The sequence below is a fragment of the Homo sapiens genome, chromosome 15 (genome assembly GCF_000001405.40).
Source record: "Homo sapiens chromosome 15, GRCh38.p14 Primary Assembly".
Classification (NCBI taxonomy): Eukaryota; Metazoa; Chordata; class Mammalia; order Primates; family Hominidae; genus Homo; species Homo sapiens.
Window position 1 is genome coordinate 77,096,331 of NC_000015.10, and position 20,961 is coordinate 77,117,291.

Below are 20,961 nucleotides of genomic sequence, written 5' to 3' on the forward strand. Positions count from 1 at the left end.
GGAGTGATGAAATGTTCTACATATTGATGTGGGTGTGGGTTATATGGGTGTAATCTGTTGTCAAAATTCATTCTACTGAATGCTTAAGATCTGTAACTGCATGGAATGTAAATTATACAATAAAAGATGCTGCAAGACTTCTCAGAGCCCTTAACAAGCTAAGACAGATTATGAATGTCAAGAAGGGGGCTGCAGCACGCAGGTTTTCCTGATGTAATTGGACCCTTCTTGAAGGGGTGTGGGCAGGAAGTGTTCGTTTTCCAAGTGCATGAACTGGGGGCGAATGGCCGGGGTGAGGACAGGAGCCCTAGGATTCCTTTTGCCTCAAGTCTGAGGTGTCAGGGAGTGCGGTTGGCACTGAGGCTGGGGCTGAGGGGTGGGTTGAGGGAGTGGCAGGTCTCCATGCATTTCTTCAGCTGAGTCCAGGCCATGCCATCTGCTTCCCTCCACCCACCACTGCTATTGGGACCTCAGGGTGTCTTCGTAGGGTCCAGGCTGTGACAGCCGTAGCAGCAGGCTATGGTAAAAGCTGCCACTACTGGGCCAAGACCCTCTCCTGCCTTCCCTCTATGGGGATTGTGGAGTCCTATACCTTTGTTCCACGCAGGCTGCCCAAACCCCTTTCGGACTCAGCACGCAGTTCTAACCCAGTAAAGCCTGGGACAAAGGCCGGGATGGAGACAGCTCCTGAGGCCTCCTGCAACCCCTTTGCTCAGCTCTGCTGCCCAGAGTTGGGGAGCTCCCTGGGCTCTAGTAGGGAAAGCAGCCCCCCGACTTGTCTAGCTGTGCAGCATCAATGGGCCTCTCGTTTTGCTTGTTCTCATCTGCTTCTAGGAATCCCTCAAAATGACTGCTTTAGCAATGATACCCTTTTCTGTTTTCCAACACTGCTAAATAGATGTTCTTATTTTTCTCTTTTGTCTGTCAATGCAATTGGGGCACAGCAGGCAATTTATGAATGAATCAGAATGATTGTGTATGGATGAGAGGATGTGAGTGTGCGGGGTATGAGCATTTGTGAATGCCTGTGCAGCCTGAGTCCAGGAAAGGGGAAGCGGCTTTGGGGAGCTTCGGAGGGGCGGGTGGGCAGCCAGGCAGGCGGTTGACAGTCTGCCCCATGAAAGGTCCTTGCTGCACGCAGGAATGACATTGCTGTGTAGTGGGGCTGACAGATGCTCCAAGGGAGATTAGGAAATAAGTCTGCATCTCCCCTGGGCCCTGATACCATCAGCGGTTAAGAGGCATGTCTGATTTCATTACAAATCTCCCATTCCTGGGGCTTAGAGCTCAGCCTCCAGGCTCACAGGTGTGGGAGGAGAGTGGGCCACAGCAAGGGCATTTTGCTTTTAATTGTGGCCATTAATCTGGCCCCAACAGCTGGTCTATCCTGCAGGAGAGGGAAGGGGAAGGGTGACAGGAAACTTGTCAATTGGGAACCAGTTAACCCCACTGCTGCTTTGCCCTCTAGCAGGCTGGGAGAAGAGGGAAAAGCTTCTTAATTCTGCTTTTCAGGGCCTACTTTCCTGGCCTCCTTGAGAAGGATCTCGGTTTGCTTCCTCCATGTTTTTTTTTTGTGGGAGTCTCCTGGAGCCAGTAGATGACAAGCTCCCAAGCCATGTTCCATTTATTTTCCCAGAGACAGGGCCACTGTGGTGTGTAGTGACAGCTTGCCTAGTGCCAGCCCCTGCCCCAAAGTCAGGGCATGTTCCAGTGGGAAGGGTGGGGTGAGAATGTCCCAGGGGCTGGATAAGCATCTGGAACAGCCTGATGAAGGATAGGACAGAGTGGGCAGAGGTCCCAGAGCCACACAAGGCAGAGCTAGAGAGAAGGCCAGCTGTGGCCACAAAATGGGAGAGGGACCATATGTGTCGGGGGGGGGGGTGGGGGGGGTGTGTGTGTGCGCGCACACACACGCACATGCGGTGGGGAGGGTGAATTTCTTCCCTTCTCTAGCCATCCACAGTCTTCAGCTGGAGCTACCCAGGGGTGGGCTCTGGTGGGCTCTGGCAGGCTCTGGGCGAGTCAGAGGCATAAGCCTGCCCTGGGAGCTCTCCAGCATCAGAAAAGTGCCCAGTGGCACAGAAGGGCAGAGTGGGGCCAGATACTCATAGGAAGCACCCAAAGGGCAGGGGGTAGGGAGAAGTCTGATGGGGTTGGGGAGGAGGTGGGCTAGACTGAGGCCTTGAAGGGTGAATATAGTCCTGCCAGAGATAGTGGGGGCATGTGGACGGGAAAGAATGTGCCTCTGGGGTTCCTAGCAAACTAGGGATTTGCAGAGAAAGGGTTCCTATTGAAGAAAGAAGCTCTATAAGCAGTGAGCTTGCTTCTTGGGTGGCAGAGCCTGGGAGCCAATTTCTAGGGTTAGTGGCTGCCCCTGTGAAGACACTTTTCTGTGTCCTGTGTCCTCGAGAGAACCAGGAGCAAGGCCCAGGCAGCCTTAATCACAGCAGCCATCAACTACCATGTGCCCGAAGTCCTACACATGTGGCTTTCCGGATACTCCATGGCAGCCCTGGCAGGGGTGATGCAGACCTGGTCAGTTCCTGAGGCCTGGAGAGGGAAAGGACTTGCCCAGGATCACACAGGGAGGCAGCGGGTTTGAACCAGGCCCTTCTTGCTATACTGTGGGATCTGCAAAAAAGCAGCCCAGCCTGGACTCCTCGCCTACTCCCACTGGAGAGCAGGGGCCCTGGGCATGGATGAGAAAGGGACAAGCTGCCAAGGTCCAAGGCCCCCATGCTTCTGGGGAATGATGTTTGGTGCTGGAAGGCCTTTTGATTTTTCAAAGGAAAACCTAGACTCTTGTTGCCTGTTACAATGGATAATTTGGGGTAAAGAGTCAAGCAAGCCCTATTTGAATGTGGAGCACACATCAACTTGGGGTAGATCAGAGAGGCCCTAGCTAGCCTGGGAGAGCGACCGCGCTGCTACTTCCTTGGCGTGGTGACCTTGGGTGGGTCATTGTCCATCTCCATGCTCAGGTTTCCTCCCTGGTGACATGGAGTAGGAAAAGAAGCCCCCTTGCAGGATTGTCCTGAAGATAAAGTTCATCATGCATCACATGTAATGGTATCTGGCCTAAGGAAGTGGCTCAGTGTGAGCTGTCACTGCTACTGCAAGTCTTGTCACCTTGCAGCACCATTCAGGCGAACACAAGCCATTTAGTTGCCAAAGAACTTGTCTGAGAGGGCATCACCCTTCCTTTATCCTCACCTGCTCTCTCTTGGGGCCTCCTTGGGAGGCCTGACCCTCTGGGAAGCTGGGAACTGTTGACTCTACCTCCTAAATATTTCTAGAATCGGCCCCTGCTCTTCCATCTCCATGGCAGTGAGCTGGGCTAGGGGCGCCCAGCCTGTCTCCCCTGGTTCTTTCTACCCCTCATTTCTCACTGTGGTCTCTCCTCCACTTCTACAGCCTGAGACATTGTTCCTACAGTGCAAATCTGAGCATGTCCTGCCTCTGCTGAGGGCTTCCTGTGGCTCTTACATGTTTGCCAGCATGTGCCAGAATGAACTTGGCTTTGCATATACTGTTGCCTCTGTCTGGAATAACGTTCTCCACACTTTGTCCTCCTGGGGAACTCCTATTCATCCTTCAAAACCCAGTGCAGACTCATCCCCTCTCAGAAGGCTTCCCAGACTGCCCTTCCTATCCACAAGTCAAGGTAACATGCCTGGCCCCTCACACTGTCTTCTATGTTGTATGGATCCCTCTGGTTGTTTCAGTTTACACATCATGGCTGTCACTATTTTGCAACCTCCTTGAGGACCTTGGACCTACCTCTGCCCTCTCACATAGCCAAGGGTCTGGCTCATGTCAGTGCTGGTTGACCCAAACTGAATTTGATACTAGTCAGAGATGCTGGGGGATGTAGGTGTTACTGTCCCAGGGCCACACTGTGCGGCCTTGGGCATGCCCTCTCCCTCTCTGGGCTGCAGCTGCAGCATCTCTACAATGAGGAAGCTGCCAGGGTCTGTTGGCTGTTCTGAGTTTCAGTACCTACCCAAGTCCTGCCTGCCTGCTCCAGGGATGGACGAAAAGCTCGGGAGTTTTGGCTGCCTTGCAGACCACCTGCCTCTCAGGTCAGTCACACCTGTGGGAACCAACAGCATCACTCCCCAAGGTGACTAGTATCCTTGAGATAAAGGCATGTTTGTAGAACTTAAAACTTCTTTCTTTTCCCAAGAGAAATGGAGAAACTTCATCAAGCCAAGATGGAGAACTGGGTCACGCCCCAATGATGCCAAGCAGAGGCTGCCACTTGGCTCTGTGAGCGAAGCAGACTACTAAATTTCAGATATAAGAAATAATCTGCTCCCTGCATTCGCCTGATCACTTTATTAGCTGAAAAGATAAATTTAAACCACAGACTCATAGCAAAAAGAAATAAGTCCACATTCACCTCCTAATTAAACTGAGAGAAGCCAGCTACATCCAAGGACACTCGGCCCACTCAATTAATTAACATCTATTACAATCAGAAAACAATCTAATTCAATTAAAATGTTTCCACAAAAGGAGTTTAATGACTTTCCCCAAAATAAAGTACATTCAACTGAAGCATTTATTATGCAAGGCAGTGTCATGAGGGGAGCTGAAATGAGGGCTCTGATGTGGGCAGCAGGCTCCGAGGAAGGGTGAGGGCCTGGGCCAGCCCCTTGCTGAGGGAGGGAGGGGGTGCTTCGGGACACAGACACCCTCTAAAGAGCACACCGGCCCAGAGCTAGAGGGGCCCTCAACAGCTGCTTTCATCCTCACCCCCCACTTCCCATCGCAGCCCTGTCCCTTGTCAGTTTACCACTGTGCCTGACTCTCCCCCAATAAAGGGTCCAGGTTGTGTAGGGAGGAAGGCAGGCTTGGATTCAGAGGCATGGACCCATTTCTGCCTCTGATGTGCTATGTCACCATCGGCAGGTAGGAGGTGTTCAGAGAAACGACTGTTAACCAGGCTTTCTGAAATTCAGCCAGGAGATATTTGGAAAGCTGGAGAAATTGCCACTCAAAAGCTGCAAGCAGTTTTCTGATTCTTACGAGGCCGAGATTTGAATTCACAGTATCTTTGTTCAGCAAAAATCCCCCGATGAGTCCTTGGTTATAAAAACAGAAAGTAAATACCCACTCAGAGTTTGCCTTTTTGATCAACAATATTTGAGCACTTACTATTGCCTGGCAGTGGACTAAATACACTTGCTAGACTGTGTCCTTTCATCCTGACAATGACCCTGTGAGGTAGGAATCCCCATCAAAACCAAGGCTCAGAGAATGGCTGAGGACACAGTTTGTCAGAGGTGGAACCTGGAGCTAAATCCAGATTCAGGCAGAGAGGCCCCTTACAAGCTCAGAATAGCTGAAGGACCCTGGGGAGGAGGGGGTCTTGGAGTCACTGGACTTGGGTGGTCTTTCCTTTTGAAAAGCTCCCCTGGTGACTCTGTCACTTTGACCTTGGAGATCTGAAATCTCTATTACCCACCACCATGCTGACTACTGGGGTCAGCCCTTGCCCAACACCCCAGGACAGGATGAATCAAGCCCCTTTCCATCCAATTCAATTGCACCAACATTGACTGAACTGTATACCCTGTCACCAGCATGGAGTATAAGCTTTAAAAAAAAAGCTTTGTTAATTTGATAGGTGGAAAATGAGATGCCAACAATATGATCTTAATTTAAAAAGAAAAAGGCAGAGTAAACAACAGTTGCAGGATATACAGTAAATGTTAATGGTGGTCATTTCTAGATGGTGACCTAGTGGGTCAATTTTACCTTCCACATTTTCTACTGTAAACAGGCATTATTTTTATAATCAATCAGAAAAAGCTGTTAAAATTTTTTTTTAGATATGCCACCTTAGGTTATTTCTCTTGTTTCTAGAAAGCTTAAACATTTGGGTTCTTCTGTGACTTCTCTGTTCTCATCTATTAGTGTTTTATGTTCCTAATGATTTGTATCAGCTCTTTATAACTCAGAATTTTAATCCTATGTCTGTTATATGTGTTGAAATCTTTTTTCTGGGTTATTTACTTTTCAATTTTGTTTCTGCTGTTTTCCATGGACAAAGGTTTATCACCTTTAGTCAAACCTATTGATCTTTCCCTTTCAGACACCTTCCACCGTCTCTTAGCTTACAAAGTCCTTTCTCAACAAGAGATAAAACATGCATTGACTTGGCATTCTTCTAGTTCTTGAGATTTTTCTTTCCTTTGTGGCATGTAACTCTGTTTGATCTGTTTGGATTTGTATTAGCTTATAGTATGAAGATTAATATTTTCCAAATAGCTAACCAATTGTACCAGCACATTGGATAAACTTCCTTCCCTTCTCATATAGTGATGTCTTACTTATCCTATATTACATATACTAGTTTCATACTGATACTATTTTTAGGTTACCTATTCTATTACATTGATCTGTTTTTTCTTGTACCTGTATCACACTGTTTTATTGATCATAGCTTTTTCATATGCTCAATTATGCCTTCAATTTCAAAAATTTCTGGGTTTTTCATGTATTCGTTCCTCCAACTGACTCTGAAAACCATTTTGTAAAGTTTTTCACTCCAGAAAAAAAACCCATTGAGATTTAAAATTCAAATTTCACTAAAATTTGAGACAACCTGATAGTTCATCTCTGTATCTGTGCATCTTTTATACTTCTCAGTAGTTTCTCATATTTTGTTGTTTAGTCATCCCTATGTGACTGAACGCCTGAAGAAGTGGAAATAATAATAATAAAATTTGTATATATGTATGTTATGTAATGCTATTATTTTTAGTGCGAGAAGCTACCTTTTAAGAAATACTTTGTCCATGATTTTTTTGCTTTTGTTTTTGTTTTTGTTTTGAGACAGGATCTCACTTTGTTCCCCAGGCTGGAGTGCAGTTCACGGCTCACTGTGGCCTCGACCTCCTGGGCTCGAGTGATCCTCCCTCCTCAGCTTCCTGAATAGCTGGGACCACAGGTGTATGCTACCACACCTGGCTAATTTTTGTATTTTTTTGTAGAGATGGAGTTTCAACATGTTGCCCAGGCTGGTCTAACTTTTGAGCTCAAGTGATCCTCCCAAAGTGCTGGGATTATATGCGTGAGCCACCACACCTGGCCAATGATATATATTGTTAAGTAAGAAAAGCAATTTGCAGAGTATTGTACACAATAAGATCTAATTTTTGTAAGAGAGTGGAACCCTACAGCTATATGCGTATGTCTTGTATATATTTGCTCAAGCATGGAGCTCTTAGGGGTTGAGGACTTTACAACCCTGATTTACCATGACAGGGTGGGAGTGGAGGGGGTAGGTGAATGGAAAGCAGATTATTAACCAAAAAGAAAGAAAAAGACAAAAAGGAAAAGAAGGTTGTCAGTTGCTCTGTGGCAGCTGTTGGCCACTTAGTTGCCTTTGTGGTTCCAGAAGCAGTCCTGGGAGGCCCCTCTGTAGGGAAGATGGAGAGCAAACAGGCAAGTCTGCTCAGGGGCCTTGAGAGGAAATGTCTCAAAGACGGCCAGTGCTAATGCCTTGTGTTGGCCTGGCGATCCCATAGGAGTTCAGTGAAGGTCTGACAGGGAAAGGTGCTGGCCCTACAGGGAAGCTACAGATCTGACTGCTCAGCCTAGCCAGCGCTTTCTTCTCACTCACACTCTCTGCCCACATCAGGAAGCACTCCTTGGCTACCCCAGTCTGTCACAATTGGAGCAAACACCCATAGGCCTGGGCCTATCCGCTGGCACAAAAACAAGCCAATAGACAAAGACTCGTATGGTGGTGGGGAGAACTGGCTTCAAGCCTAGGTTTGAATCTCAGCTCTACCACTTACCAGCTATGCAGCTTTAGGCAAGTTTCTTACCCACTCTGAGTTTCCTCATCTGTAAAATGGCTGTAGTGGAGAGCAAATGAGGTTAATGTGTGGGAAAGCCTGGACCAGGGCCTGGCCCAGTGGAGCAGCCAGGGGTGGTTCTCTTCCTCCTCTCTTCCTGTTAGTTGAGTCAGACACCAAGGACAGCAGGCAGAGCAGCTAAAGCCATGGCCTCCCTGGAGGAGCTCACGAGAAGGGAGGTGCACACACACAGACACACACACACACCAGGCCAGGAGCTGAAGCTGGGGAGTGAGTTGGTGATTTCAGATGGCTATCATCCCAAAAGCTTCTTGGCTGAATGGGGCCCTGAAGAACAGAGAGAAAAAGAACAGGAACGATGCGGGTGCAGAGAATTTCAATGCATGTCTCCCAGGCCAGCCTGGAGAGTGGAGCTGCTGCAACATCTGGTCAGCAATAAGCATGAGAGGTGGAGGACACAGACTCAGCAATTGGATTTTTCTTCTTTGGACACCAAGAAGCCACTGATGATACTGGGGTGACAGCTAGAGAGTGAGGGAGGACTGTCCCTCACTCCAGGAAGCTGGGAGGTGGAGTACGGTTGCTGGATGACAAATCGTAGTTCCCTTACTAAGGATCTGGGGCAAACAAACCCTCTCTGACTTGTTTTCACAAGGGTAAAATGGGGATAATTCTAGAAACCACCTCACCAGATTGTGAAGATAAAATTAAGCTGTTAAGCTAGTTCATGGGAAAGCACCCCCAGGGCTGGCTTTCTAGAGACAGACTCCTTCACCCTGGAAGAGGAGCATCTCAGCTCTTCAAGGCATTCAACTTTGCCCCTCCCTGGGGGGCCTGGTGACTTTATCCCTCCACATTCTCTTTACCTGAGGTACAATTTGCCTCCCATCCCCCAACCCTGGGCAAAGATGAACCATAGGCTTGGAGTTTTTTGCTCTATCTTTGACTCCAGCTCAAGTGTGGGCTGGTGAGCATTGGGTGGTCCTGGTGGGGAAAACCCAAGTCCCTATACCCCCCACTTCCTGCATGAGAGTTACTTCTCTAGAGGACCCTGGTCCTTATAATTGCAGATTCCTCAGAAGCCCTCACAGCATTATCACTCAGCTTTCTGGTTGCTTCCATGCAGCTCCCAGAGGGCAAGGGAGCCATTAGTTGGTGTGTGTGTGTGTGTGTGTGTGTGTGTGTGTGTGTGTGTGCGCGCGTGCGCGCACATACCTGTACAGAGGTTTATCTGGGATCTCAAGGAAGTCAGTTTGTGTCCAAAAAGCCTATTTCCTTTTAGAGGTTTGCAAATTTGAGAGAACTGGATCTTGGCAACAAATTCCCTCCTACCCCCCCACCCAGTGTGAAATCCAGTTTTTAAGTTTCAGCTGTAATTGCCTTGAGCTGCTCTTAACAACAACTTGTGATCTGCCAACTGCAGTTCTTGGCTCCTATGGCACTAATGAAGTTCTTTCCCTTGTAGAAGAGAGTGCGAACTCACTTATAAGGAAGCATAATTTGCTAGGCCTTGGAGAGGAGGCAAAGAGTTCCTGGAGCAGAAGGTACACACTTACAACCCCAGGCAATGGAGAGCTCCCCACACCAATTCACTCCGGGCAGGAAAGAAATCAAGATTCTCTGTGGCTTAGGTTGAAAGACAACACTCTGCAGGCATGGAGCTGCCAAAGGCCCCATCCAACTGTCAGTGGCCCATCACCTCCGGACAACCCAGAGTCAGACAGGATGGCATCACTGAGGACCACTAATGGAATTCTCAGGAATGAATCCCACGCTGGGTGATGTGATGGGGAAGGGGAATAGGATAATTTATCTCCAGGCTCTCCAGTTACACCAAAGGACAAAGTGATCCCACTGAAGAATAGAAACTTAGTGTTTTTTCTGGCCTTGTTCCACCTCACCTGGAGTCTGGCTTGGGCAATCCTGAACTGGTCCCACCATCCACTGGCCTGTATCCTTTCAGGGCTCCAGGTGTTTCTGGACCAAACTGGGGGTCAGGCTGCTTATTTTTGCGGCCCAGTAACGAGATGCAGATGAACCGGGAGAGAAGGGAGTTTTTATTTCTGTAACCAGTTACAGGGAGAAGGCCTCGAAGTTATTGCCAGATCAACTCAAAATTACGGTTTCCCACATCTTATATACCTTCTAAGCTATATGTCTACGTGTAAGTGTGCATTCATCTAAAGACATAAGTGACTATTTATTTATTTATTTATTTTGAGATGGAGTCTTGTTCTGTCACCCAGGCTGCAGTGCAGTGGAGCAATCTCGGCTCACTGCAAACTCCACCTCCTGGGTTCACGCCATTCTCCTGCCCCACCCTCCTGAGTAGCTGGGACTACAGGTGCCCACCACCAAGCCCGGCTAACTTTTTTGTGTTTTTAGTAGAGACAGGGTTTCACCGTGTTAGCCAGGATGGTCTCGATCTCCTGACCTCGTGATCCGCCCACCTCGGCCTCCCAAAGTGCTGGGATTACAGGTGTGAGCCACCACATCCGGCCAACTTCTTTCAATCTATAACTAAGGTCTGAGTCTTGAAGACCTTCCTCTGGAGCCTCAGTAAGTTTACTTAATCTAAATGGGTCCAAGTGCTGGGGTGATTACCCTTAATCTTGTCTCCTGCTAAATCATGGAGGTATGGGGAGTTCCTTCAGACCCCCGATAAACTTGTTTAATCCTAAACAGGTCCTGTTAAGAATTCCTTCGCTATTTTGTCATGCTTCAAGGCCCAGGAAAGGTCTAGGCAAAACTCCCAGTGGAGCTTTTGTTACACTTCAGCCTTCGTATAAGGGCAGTGGCCCCTTCAGCTTTTAATATTTAATTTAATCACTCAGTCAGTACTGAATCAGTTGTTATGGAGTCCTGCATTAGTGAGACCTGGCCTGGCACACACGGTGACCACTCAGGCCAGCAGAGCTTCACACAGCAGCCCGGTCCTGGTACGCTCTGTTTCTGTGACCTCCCAACCCCAACTGCCTACTTTTTTCTTTGCTTCCTTTCCCCCAGAAGCCAGTGTGTTGTGCTGACAACTAGAAGGGAAGTTCTCTAGGCTCTTCTCCAGCAAGCAGGCTACACAGCTGCAGCAGGCAGGGCCTGTGTCCCTGGGGATTGTCTGGTCAGGCTTGCTGTTGACCCTTCCTCCTGGGCCCAGGCAACACACAGAGAGCTTTTGGGTCCACACCAACATGGGTTCTGTTATGTTGCTCCTCAGCAACATAAACCTCAAGTCTGGCAGCCACTCTTCTGGGGTATGCCTTAAAAACAGCATCTGCAAATTCCAGAGTGCTTGCTAGTGGAGAAGAGCAGAGACACCGGGTTGGAGACAGTGTCCACTGTAAAGGGTTTGGTGCTCTAAAATCTGCTCTAAATTTAGGATCTACATGTTTGCCTTTTCATCTATTCTCCTCTCATAATGCGGCAGTTGTTGCTACCACTGCTGACTCTTCCTGCTTAAGCCAGGAGGCCTCCTCTGCGCTGCTGAAGTGTCCACACATTAGCTTGTCTGCCTTTGTGAGGCCCCTGTGTATCACTGTGTCAAAGGCATGCGAATCTTGCAGATGATGCAGTACCAGGCCCTGTCCCCGCTCATATTACCTGAATAGCTCTGATTTCCACGGAGAGGGTCAGCCAGAGCCAGCTAACCAAGCCTCTCAACATGCAGTACAAACCCAGGAAGCCTGCAGGTGACTGCTCACCAGAGGGCGATCTCACACAGCAAACCTGCAGCCTTCTGAGGTCTGGGAAAAGCAGAATGCCTTTGCTTTCTCTTTGGGGCCTGATTTCCTCAGATTAGACAGGGAATAAAGAGAAATATAATCCATGTCAGCAGGGGATGAGGACCCAGAGTGCAGAAGACACACAGGCTGAAAGCCATCATTTCCTGTGTTATGGACAGGGCACCTACCCTGGGGGGACAAGACATAACCATGTCTGCAACCAAACCCTCCCCAGCATGTCAGTGTGGAAGAGTCGCCAAAAGGACAAGCATTTGTCTGTTTTTTAGTGTGTATTAAAATGAATTTATTTACACAGTAACATGATGCCACGGAGTACACAGCAAAGTACCACAGCAAACCAAAGGGTGGCACCACTGCTGGCAGAGAGGACCTTTCAATGATAGATTTATACAACTTTACAATATGTAAGTAGAGGGGTGAAGCTCCGGAAAGAGCAAAAACAAGATTTTCAAATACAGAGTGTGGGCAGGGCCAGAGAGAATTAAAGAGAGATTGGAATGAGGACTGTCATGATTCAAATCACCAAGTAGAATGAAATCTTGCTTCTGTATTTGCCTCATGCCAAAATGCCCTGCATATCCTCAACAGAAAATCCCAACCCAGTGTGTTCATACATCACACTCTTTAGTTCTAACTGGTAAAGGAAGGGATAACCAAGTAGTATTTGGAGCAAGTTCCTGAAACAGTGTGGTTTAACCTTTCAAAAATGAACCCTATGTCTGGTTCAACATTCAAGTTATCATGAGTGCGGACACACACATACTATCCACACACTAACGGGCAAAGTGGGTTTTCTGTACTACAACAATATTCGTAGCAAAATATATGACTCTGTACTTCTGCTAGGTTAAAAAATGTCCGACCTCTTTTGATTCCCTGAAACTTTCTTGATTTAAAAAACAAAACCAAACCAAACCAAACCATGGGGGTGAATGGGACACGTCAAGATAAAAAGCTGGAATAAACCCAGAGACTTTCTGGAGTGGGAAACATGTAATGGGATGTTGGGAATGCAGGCCCTTGCAGCCCACCTAGGTGGGGAAAGCTTCTAGCAGTGGTTGATGCAAAAATCTATTCTAATTTTAAACAGTTGCAGGGAGGGGGTGTTTAACGGCTGTATAGCACCTTGTACCTTCTGGGCACTTACAGATATTAAATGATGGTGATGATGAATGGTACACAACTCTGTAGGAAGGTTTATAAAAACAATTACAATTTGTTAAGAAATTTCCCAAGAGTTCTTTAAACAAACCTATTTAAACTACCATATCTCTTTAAAAAAATCTTCCGCTCTCAGTATTATATGATGTTCTCAAGCTGAGGTTTGGGCAATAGCCACAGTCATGTCAAGGGGACATGGAAGAGATCCTTCTCCTTAAATACTGAGGAACTTTGTATCTGCCAGGGCTTTCTTCATCTTCATCATCATCATCATCTTCTAATATACAAAATGGACTTCTTTTTAAAAAGGTGCTTTTCTGAGGATGGATTTATCAGCTAAATGCCTTGACATGGAATGTATGTGAACTCCCCTCCCACAGCATCTGTCACAGCTCACCCTCATCATCTTAGAAGCATCAGGATAAAAAGGCTTGATTTCTTTGGTATAATCTCTCCCAGGATCTTGCACTGCAACTCTTCTGGCTTCCCTTATGGCACCGTTTTTGGTCCATGGAATCCCCACTTTTGGCACTGCTGTAAGCACGGACAGCTGGACTTCAGTGCGCACTTCAGCAAGAGCAGCACTTGGATTTGTCTCGGCACAGCACTTTGGGCCTTTGAGAATATGAGCTTCGATGACATAAAGCTAATAACTTGGTTTTGTGGGCAGCCATCCTGTTCACTCATTAGGCTGGAGCGGAATTTTCAATCCTTGTCAACTAGTGAGGAGAATGAAAAACATGCCAGGGTTGGCCCAGCAAGTCCAGTTTGTCTCACCCCTCTCCAAGAATGTTCATACTATATTTACACATCTAGAATCATTTGAAATATAGTGTAGTATCCTAAATCCATCTCTATTTCTGTGACTAGCCTGTACTTTTTCAGATCACTGCTGGTAAAATCTAGAAGAAATCCTAATTGCAGTCAAATCTAGCGAAAACCCTAATTCCAGCAAAACCAAATGTCAGGTTACTTCCCTGAACCAAAGTATTCATAACTCAAAATTGAGACGCTTAGTAGGACCCAAAGATCTTTCCTGGAAACTTTTTTTTGAGACGAAGTTGCTCAATCTCCCAGGCTGGAGTGCGATGGCGTGATCTTGGCTCACTGCAACCTTTGCCTCCTGGGTTCAAGAGATTCTCTTGCCTCAGCCTCCCGAGTAGCTTAGATTACAGGTGCCTGCCATCATGCCCGGCTAATTTTTGTATTTTTAGTAGAGATGGAGTTTCACCATGTTGGCCAGGCTGGTCTCAAACTCCTGACCTCAGGTGATCTGCCCACCTCGCCCTCCTAAAGTGTTGGGATTACAGGCGTGAGCCACTGCGCCTGGCCTGGGAACTTCATACTACTAGAAACTTTTAAGATATAATTTTTAGTAGTTTTACTCCCAGAAATGTCATTAATATTTCTAGAGCTTTAGATCTCTTGGCTTAGACTTTCCCATGTTTACAAACTTATTCTGAGTTTGGAAGCAAAAGTGACCCCCACTTAATCTGATAATGGGAGGCTACTCCAACTGTTAAAATCCTAACCAATATGTTTTACTTCTAGCTCCTCAACAGCAGCAGGGTAGGTAGGATGAGTGCTTGTGCCCTCACCTCAACCCATACCTCACCCAGTTCATCTTCTGAGGGCAAATCTTGAAACTCATTGCCATATTCCTGGCTTCCAGTTCTAGCTCAGCCTAGGGGTTGGTGATTCTTACGTTGTTGTTCCACAGGTTACAGTGACTCTTTTTCTCATCCTGCTGTTATTCTTCATGAATTGGCTTCTAGGCAACCCAGTAGTGTACATATACCAAAAGGGCTCACCTCAGCCAGCACAGGAGGCTTCTTGAAGTTCTAGTCCTCTTTATGAAACATCCACTGAATTGCTTCCAAGACTAGGTTACCACTCTAACAAGGCACTCTGCTATACATTCAGTCTTGCTCTTGGCTACTTTAGCCACTGTTGTGTTTCTCTAGCACCCAAGTGTCACAGAGATTGTTCATGCTCATGTGGCTTAAGGAAAAGTTCCAATAGGAGCTTAATTGTTCAAACTCTCAATATAAATGGAAAACTCTACAGTATAGACTTCAATAGAAAACAATTTCCAATCAATATTGAAGGCAATAACTTCCTGTTACTTGAGAAAATGTAAAGTGCTATACTAGTCACAATTCAAACACATAGATATATAAATGTGTGTGTATGTGTCTACAGAGGGTAGGATTTCTTTCCAGTTGATGAACAAATTCAAAGGTCCTACCACAATTAAAATGAAAAATATTTGTGATAATGTTAAACTGACTGAATTTCATTTTTTTGGAAAAATATTCTGAAGACCAACTCATGTAGTACTTTTTGCCTAGAAATATAGTTTCTTTCTCTATTCTGCTCTAACCTGTAACACCCCCTTCCCTCTCTATCTCACATTCTTTGGCCATCACCCAGAGAAAAATTAATCTAGCCACCTGTCTCTGGGAAGCCTGAGGCTTTTCTCTGGCTAGTTTGCATTCATCTTTTGCCCTTAACAAATCTGAATATAAAAACAGTACTAAAAACATCTGATATGAAGAGGTGCTTGGTTTACCAGTGCTGTAAGATAATGGTAGTGGAGGTGTCCATGCTTATTATACCATAGAGTTAAAGTGAAGACTGGATCCAAATCATAACAGAAAAAGAGAAAGAAAAAAAAAGATAAGTAGAGACATAACAAATAGAGGGACCAGGAAACATTCAGCATTAAATATGTAACCTCATTAAATAGTCAACATTGAAATTTACATGGGCAAGGCACCACGAACATGACATTGAGAAGGTATATCTCAATATGCAAGACATTGCAAGATGGGAGGTGGGGGAGGTTAAGGGAATGTGCTGGCTGACATGGTCAGTGGTCTGTGTGCTGCCCTTCAGTGCATAATCAGGCAAGGAGTTATGTGCACATGTTCTATGCTAAGATGAACCAAACACCAACCTTCAAGGCAAGGCGCGGCCATGCCACAGGACACCAAGAGCAGACTGCTGGCCTGCAGCAGCATGCCCACTCCATGGCCATTCCTAGGAGCAGAGCCCTGCACTCTGGCTAGAGGAGGCAAGACTCTTTGTGGGCTAACCAGCCTTCTTTCCTGTGAGTCCTATATTGCTGGCCAGGGGATAAGGGACATTCTCCAAATAGAGCCTCACATATTACAATCACTTAAAAAAGTAATAAGAGCACAATAAAATACATTATTTTCCTTTCCTGATCCTCTTTGTTATACATGAATCACATGAAAAGCTGTTAAAAATGTTAAAAGTTTAGAAATTTCCAAGGCCACTAATGTGCTATGTAAGTAATACTGCACAGTCAGTCTTGGCTTTAAGGAAACTCTGCACTGGTAGATGAGGGGCCTCAGGGCTCACTCACTCACTAGGCACAGAGAACATGTCTGTCAACCCTGCCACAGGTTGCTTTTCTAGAGGCCTGGCCTCTACTTCCAGCATGCGTGTGCACGCACACATGGGCACACAAGTGTACACACACATTGTTCGAGTGACTCTTGGGATTTCAAGGTCAAAGTAAACACATACTCACAGTTTTGAATAAAACAAGCACAGGTGAACATGTGTATACATACACACACACACACACACACACACACACACACACACACACACACAACCCCAGTGGAAGGAACGCTCATCTCTTAGCGCAAATATGTGCCAAGGGAAGAAGGGGGAGGGTTTCTGTAGACTCGCTTCAGGTGAAGTTGCAACATAAACACTGTAATATACAGCTAAAAAAATACATACAAAAATTGCACACATATCCATAGAAGGGGAGCACAGGCTGCACACATGGTGAACAGCTCTCAATCACCCACCTCAGCAATCAGAATTCCTGTGAGCTGTCCTCCAGAGCCATTTTACAGAGTCAGAAGGAGCAATGAGCCACTTAAACACTGGGAGGCAGTCTCTCTAGAAGAGGTCAACCTTCTGAGGAGGTCAGCAGTCTCATCAGTGGCCTTCTTCCTCTCCCCTGCCTACGGCCATCCCAACAGCCCACCTCACTGTGCCCTCTAAAGGAGATCTTAGAGCTCCACTGACAGCTATTTCATTCAGGGCAATTGTTTACAGCATTTGGTAAACTAGTTAACACTGGCTACTGATAGAAGGGAGCTGGCCAATTACTGCTCGGGGAAAACTGCAAATGCTGACAGTTCTGACAGTAATCAAAGGGTACTTTAAACTCTGTTTCCTGATGGCCCCTAGAGAATTGCACATGCAAGAAAATCATCTCCTCATGCCCTGCCAGCTATTTATAAGCTCTGAACTGCACTCCACCCTGCTGAGGCATTGGTGACACCACCTTGGGTCAGCTCTGTAATGGGCCACAAGTGGCTGATAAATCCAAACTTCACTGGCAAGTGGGGACAGAGTGGAGAATCAGGCAGTGGCAGCAGAGGGGAGACTATTAGGGCTGTCCTCCATGCAGTGCACATACTTACAGATAATGGCAATGAAAATGGGTCTATGACCCAAGGATGGGATCTCTCCTTTTCTTTCTACTCTCTCCTGGAACAAAAGATATAGTCCCTGGTAACCAAAACTGGGCTGATGCTAAGGATGGCAGTCCTGCCTAGTAAGTCAGTTGTTGACACCTTAAAGGAAGAGTCTGTTGTCAGAGTCTACTGGGTCGTGGTAGAGACTGGTTAAGTCTGTCTACTGCTAGTGAGAATAAATACTTGGTGCTAAAAAGATAGGTGATATCCAGAATTATGGAGGAAATGGACACAGCTCACTGGCTGAGTTCATACCAAAGAAGCTGTCCCTTCAAGAATATGGATTTTCATTTTTACCTGCATTTATGGGACTATTAGGATAGAAGGTGTTTCAAGGGAAGGCAACTGCAAGTTTGTGCAGCTGAATTTCTGTAAAGTTAAGACAGACTCAGCTTCTCATTCAATCTGGGGCAGTGGATAACCTTTCTGAATAGACCCACTTGTTCACGGACAGGGATAGAGGTTTGCCTTTCTTCTTTCCTTGAATTTGGAGTGAGCACTAGGGAGGGGAAGTGCATGGGTGACATGAAGAAGGTGAAGATGTAGTAAAAGCATCATCCAGGTACACATTAACGGTGCTGCAGAATTTTCACAATACAACTGAGGGAGTCTGTAGTGGCAAAAGCCAAATACTGAGCACAAAGCCAGTCCTCAAGGCTGATTCCACCTTCCCTGTCCAGGGACTTCTCAGCAAACTTGATCATGAGCAGTGTTCGCTTGATGTCTAGCCAGTTTTGGAGCAGGGTGTTCCTCTGTACTAGGCTAGGGCAGGCGGTGAAAGTCTGGAAGAGATCTTCGCGGGGGCCCCAGAGCAGACACTGGAGGATGCCTTTGGCGTCTGAAATGAGGATCCGCTCAGAAGGGTTGGGATTCAGGAGGCAGCTGGCCAGCTGCTGCAGACCCCGGGAGTAGGGGGAGCGGAATGGGATGCGAGGCAGGTCTGCTCGTGTGTATTCCCTCTCCTTCAGCTCTGGGTTCTCATCAAAGGGGTTGGGTAGGTGCAGCATCTCATAGATGAGGATGCCTGTCTGGAACTCATCACACTTTTTATACTGGGTAGCTGTTATGATCTCTGGGGCAAGGCGAGACTGGTCCCGGAGGATCTCGGGGTCCACCAGATGGCTCTTCTGCTTGGCCTGAGAGAAGTTGCTCACTATAAGCCTAGTGGGATAAGATGAGGTGGGGCTGGGCTCTGCAGGCCCAAAGCCTTGGGCAGTCCCCCCAGGCTGGTAGTGGACAAGTAGCAGGTTCTCTAGGCGTAGATCGCAGTGAGTGACATGGTAGGGTTTGAGGTGCTCAAGACCAGAGCATAGCTGTAAGAGCAGCAGACACACCTGCCTCTCATACAAATCAGGGCTTTTCCCATGCTGGGCCAGAGAGTCTCGCACAAAATCAGCCACAGTAAGACATGGAACCTCCCTGGTGATGACCACAACGTGGCTCCTCTGCTTCTTGCTCATGACTCCCTGATTCTCTTTCTGGGATGATGCTGCTTCAGAACAGGGCTTTGGGTTTTTCCCATCCGTTTCTCCTTTGGCGTCTTCTTCAGTCTCTTCCATGTCATCCTCATCCTTTTCAGGGTCATCTGGATCCTCCCAGGGAAGCAGACGGTTAGGGACTTCAGCAAGGAAATGACCACAGTCCTGCTGAATGTTAAAATGGACAGCCAGACTCTGCCGGACAGCCAAGCTGTGATAATACTGCTGAGATTCTTTAGCTTTGCTCTTACAGATCTGAAAGATAATAAAACAATTCAAAACTCACACTCTCATAACCAGGTTTATGATGTATCAGGGAAGATTAACTGGAAGGTGACTGGTTAGGGACAAACGATCATATAGTAAAGTTGTTCGCAAGGCTTGCCCCATGTTAAGTGGCAATAATAATGGTGGTAACCATTTCTCATGGTTGTCTACATGCCAGGCTGTGGTGAGCACTTTAAGTGTACCATTTTTAGTCCTCACATTAACCTTTCACAGTAGATTGAGGATCTAAGAATTTAAAAAAGAAAAAAAGCCCGGGGTTATGTGTGCAAACCTAAGTTTGTTTAATGCCAAAGCCTGCTCTTTCCACTATAACCTTGCACCTCATCAGAACAACAACAATGAAATAATTTTTCTCTTACTTCTGTAGAGGTTTGTAGCCCAGAATGATACAGCAGGCCAATGGACTCATAATGGAGACCAAAATACCTTATTTCATCACCCATCGCCCTTTGTGTCAACATCTCACAGCTTAGGAGAGTGATATAACATTGGCCAGGTAAACTGTGGGTTTTCCTAACTTTTCAATGAATGTCATTGTGATGGTCACAACACTGGCACTCATGGTTCACTGGTAGGGTTGAGAGAGTCACTGGTCTGACCTAGTCAGAACAAAGCCAACATTTCAATGGTGGTTTTCTGAGTTTTATGCTTTCTCTTAACAGGCCTCATTTAATACCCACTATTGAGGCAATAAAACCTTTCATAAAGAACTTTACTAAGTGGTTATGGATCAAGGAAGAATTTTTTGATCAAAAAAAGTTAGCCAAGAGTTCTACATACTGTGACGATTCTATTTCTACTCTTAAGGGGTTATCAAAGCAAAAAGTAAGTAAAACCACCCCCAAATGGGTTATTCTCATGCTATAGAGAGGCTGACCGTGGAAGACTGAGTCTCTAATACTAGTTCATGGATCATAATAGTCTGGTCTGGAGTCTGCTCCACAGCCCTGTTAACTGAGGGTCATTCTCTGCTCTCCCTCCTCAGCAGAGGCACACTGCCACATTACAAATATCAAAGGCTCCCAGGAACATGCACTCTCTGTAGTGTTTACACTGCATGTTTATTACAATAATACAGAAAAGCAAAACTTAAAAAAGCAATTTCTAGTCATTTTTATTTAAAAAGAAAAATGTACACATTCTTAGGAAGATTCAGATAGGACCCAGTTCTGAGAAGCAGCACATTCTGATTTCCATTCAAATAGATTAAAAAAAAAAAAAGATCAAAGACAAGGGAGTCTCAGCGGAGAAAAGCATCTCTCTCTCTCTTTCTCTTATTCTCTAGTTTATCATATTTACTACAGTTAAAGAAGCCTGATATCAGTGATCAGTGCCATGGAAATCAATCAATCTATCTATCTATCTATCTATCTATCTATCTATCTATCTATCTATCTATCTATACCTCAGCACAAGTTCCTTCAAGTCTTCTACTACCTATCTAATTCAGTTTGAGGATATACTAAGTATTTCTTTTTTAAGCAAACTTCTGGTCTTGAACAGACATCCCCAGCCTGAGTTCAAGTTCAAACATATATCTTTCAGAAAATATTATCTCTGGAAAGCTCTCGAAGTCTTAGTATATGCAGTATAATATATAATCCTATATGCTCATCAATCATAACATTTGTTATTTTTGTAACTGCACTGTTGGCAATATTTCACATTTAAGTGTTACCAGGTATTTAAAAATTCTATACTAGTCATTGTTTAGTTGTATAGGAGTTGGATCCAGCACATGGCACCATTATCCCCATTGCCAGTTAAATTTGCTCAATATTATATTGTCTTCTGGAATGAAAGCTCAAGGGTCTCAACTCTTCATACCACTAAATTTGGCTGAATCAGATTGGATGGTTAAACTCTAGCTGTTACATTATAAAAAATGACACTCTCCAAGGGCTTGGGAGGCCTGGGATTTAGCTTTGCTACTAGCTGT

At 46.1% G+C, this 20,961-nt stretch overlaps 1 protein-coding gene across 34 annotated transcripts in view, besides 1 other annotated feature; it reads right to left on the bottom strand.

The window, feature by feature from the left end:
* Positions 4,324 to 20,961, bottom strand: part of PEAK1 (pseudopodium enriched atypical kinase 1) — a 320,261-nt gene continuing 303,623 nt past the window's right edge. For 33 of the 34 annotated variants that reach the window (XM_047433076.1, XM_047433057.1, XM_047433073.1 and 30 more), the window contains one exon: positions 11,828 to 18,989. In XM_047433076.1, the coding sequence (XP_047289032.1) occupies positions 17,826 to 18,989 (1,164 nt within the window). In that variant the 3' untranslated portion in view covers positions 11,828 to 17,825. Of the gene's footprint in view, positions 5,088 to 11,827; positions 18,990 to 20,961 lie in introns of those variants that run through there. The other variant, XM_047433077.1, reaches the window with a different exon arrangement.
* Positions 17,919 to 18,107: a silencer, noted in NCBI's record as "fragment chr15:77406591-77406779 (GRCh37/hg19 assembly coordinates)". NCBI's record gives its function as "represses an EF-1alpha promoter that drives an FKBP-Casp9 reporter gene in an ReSE screen in K562 erythroleukemia cells {active_cell/tissue: K562}" and the evidence as "EXISTENCE:reporter gene assay evidence [ECO:0000049][PMID:32094911]".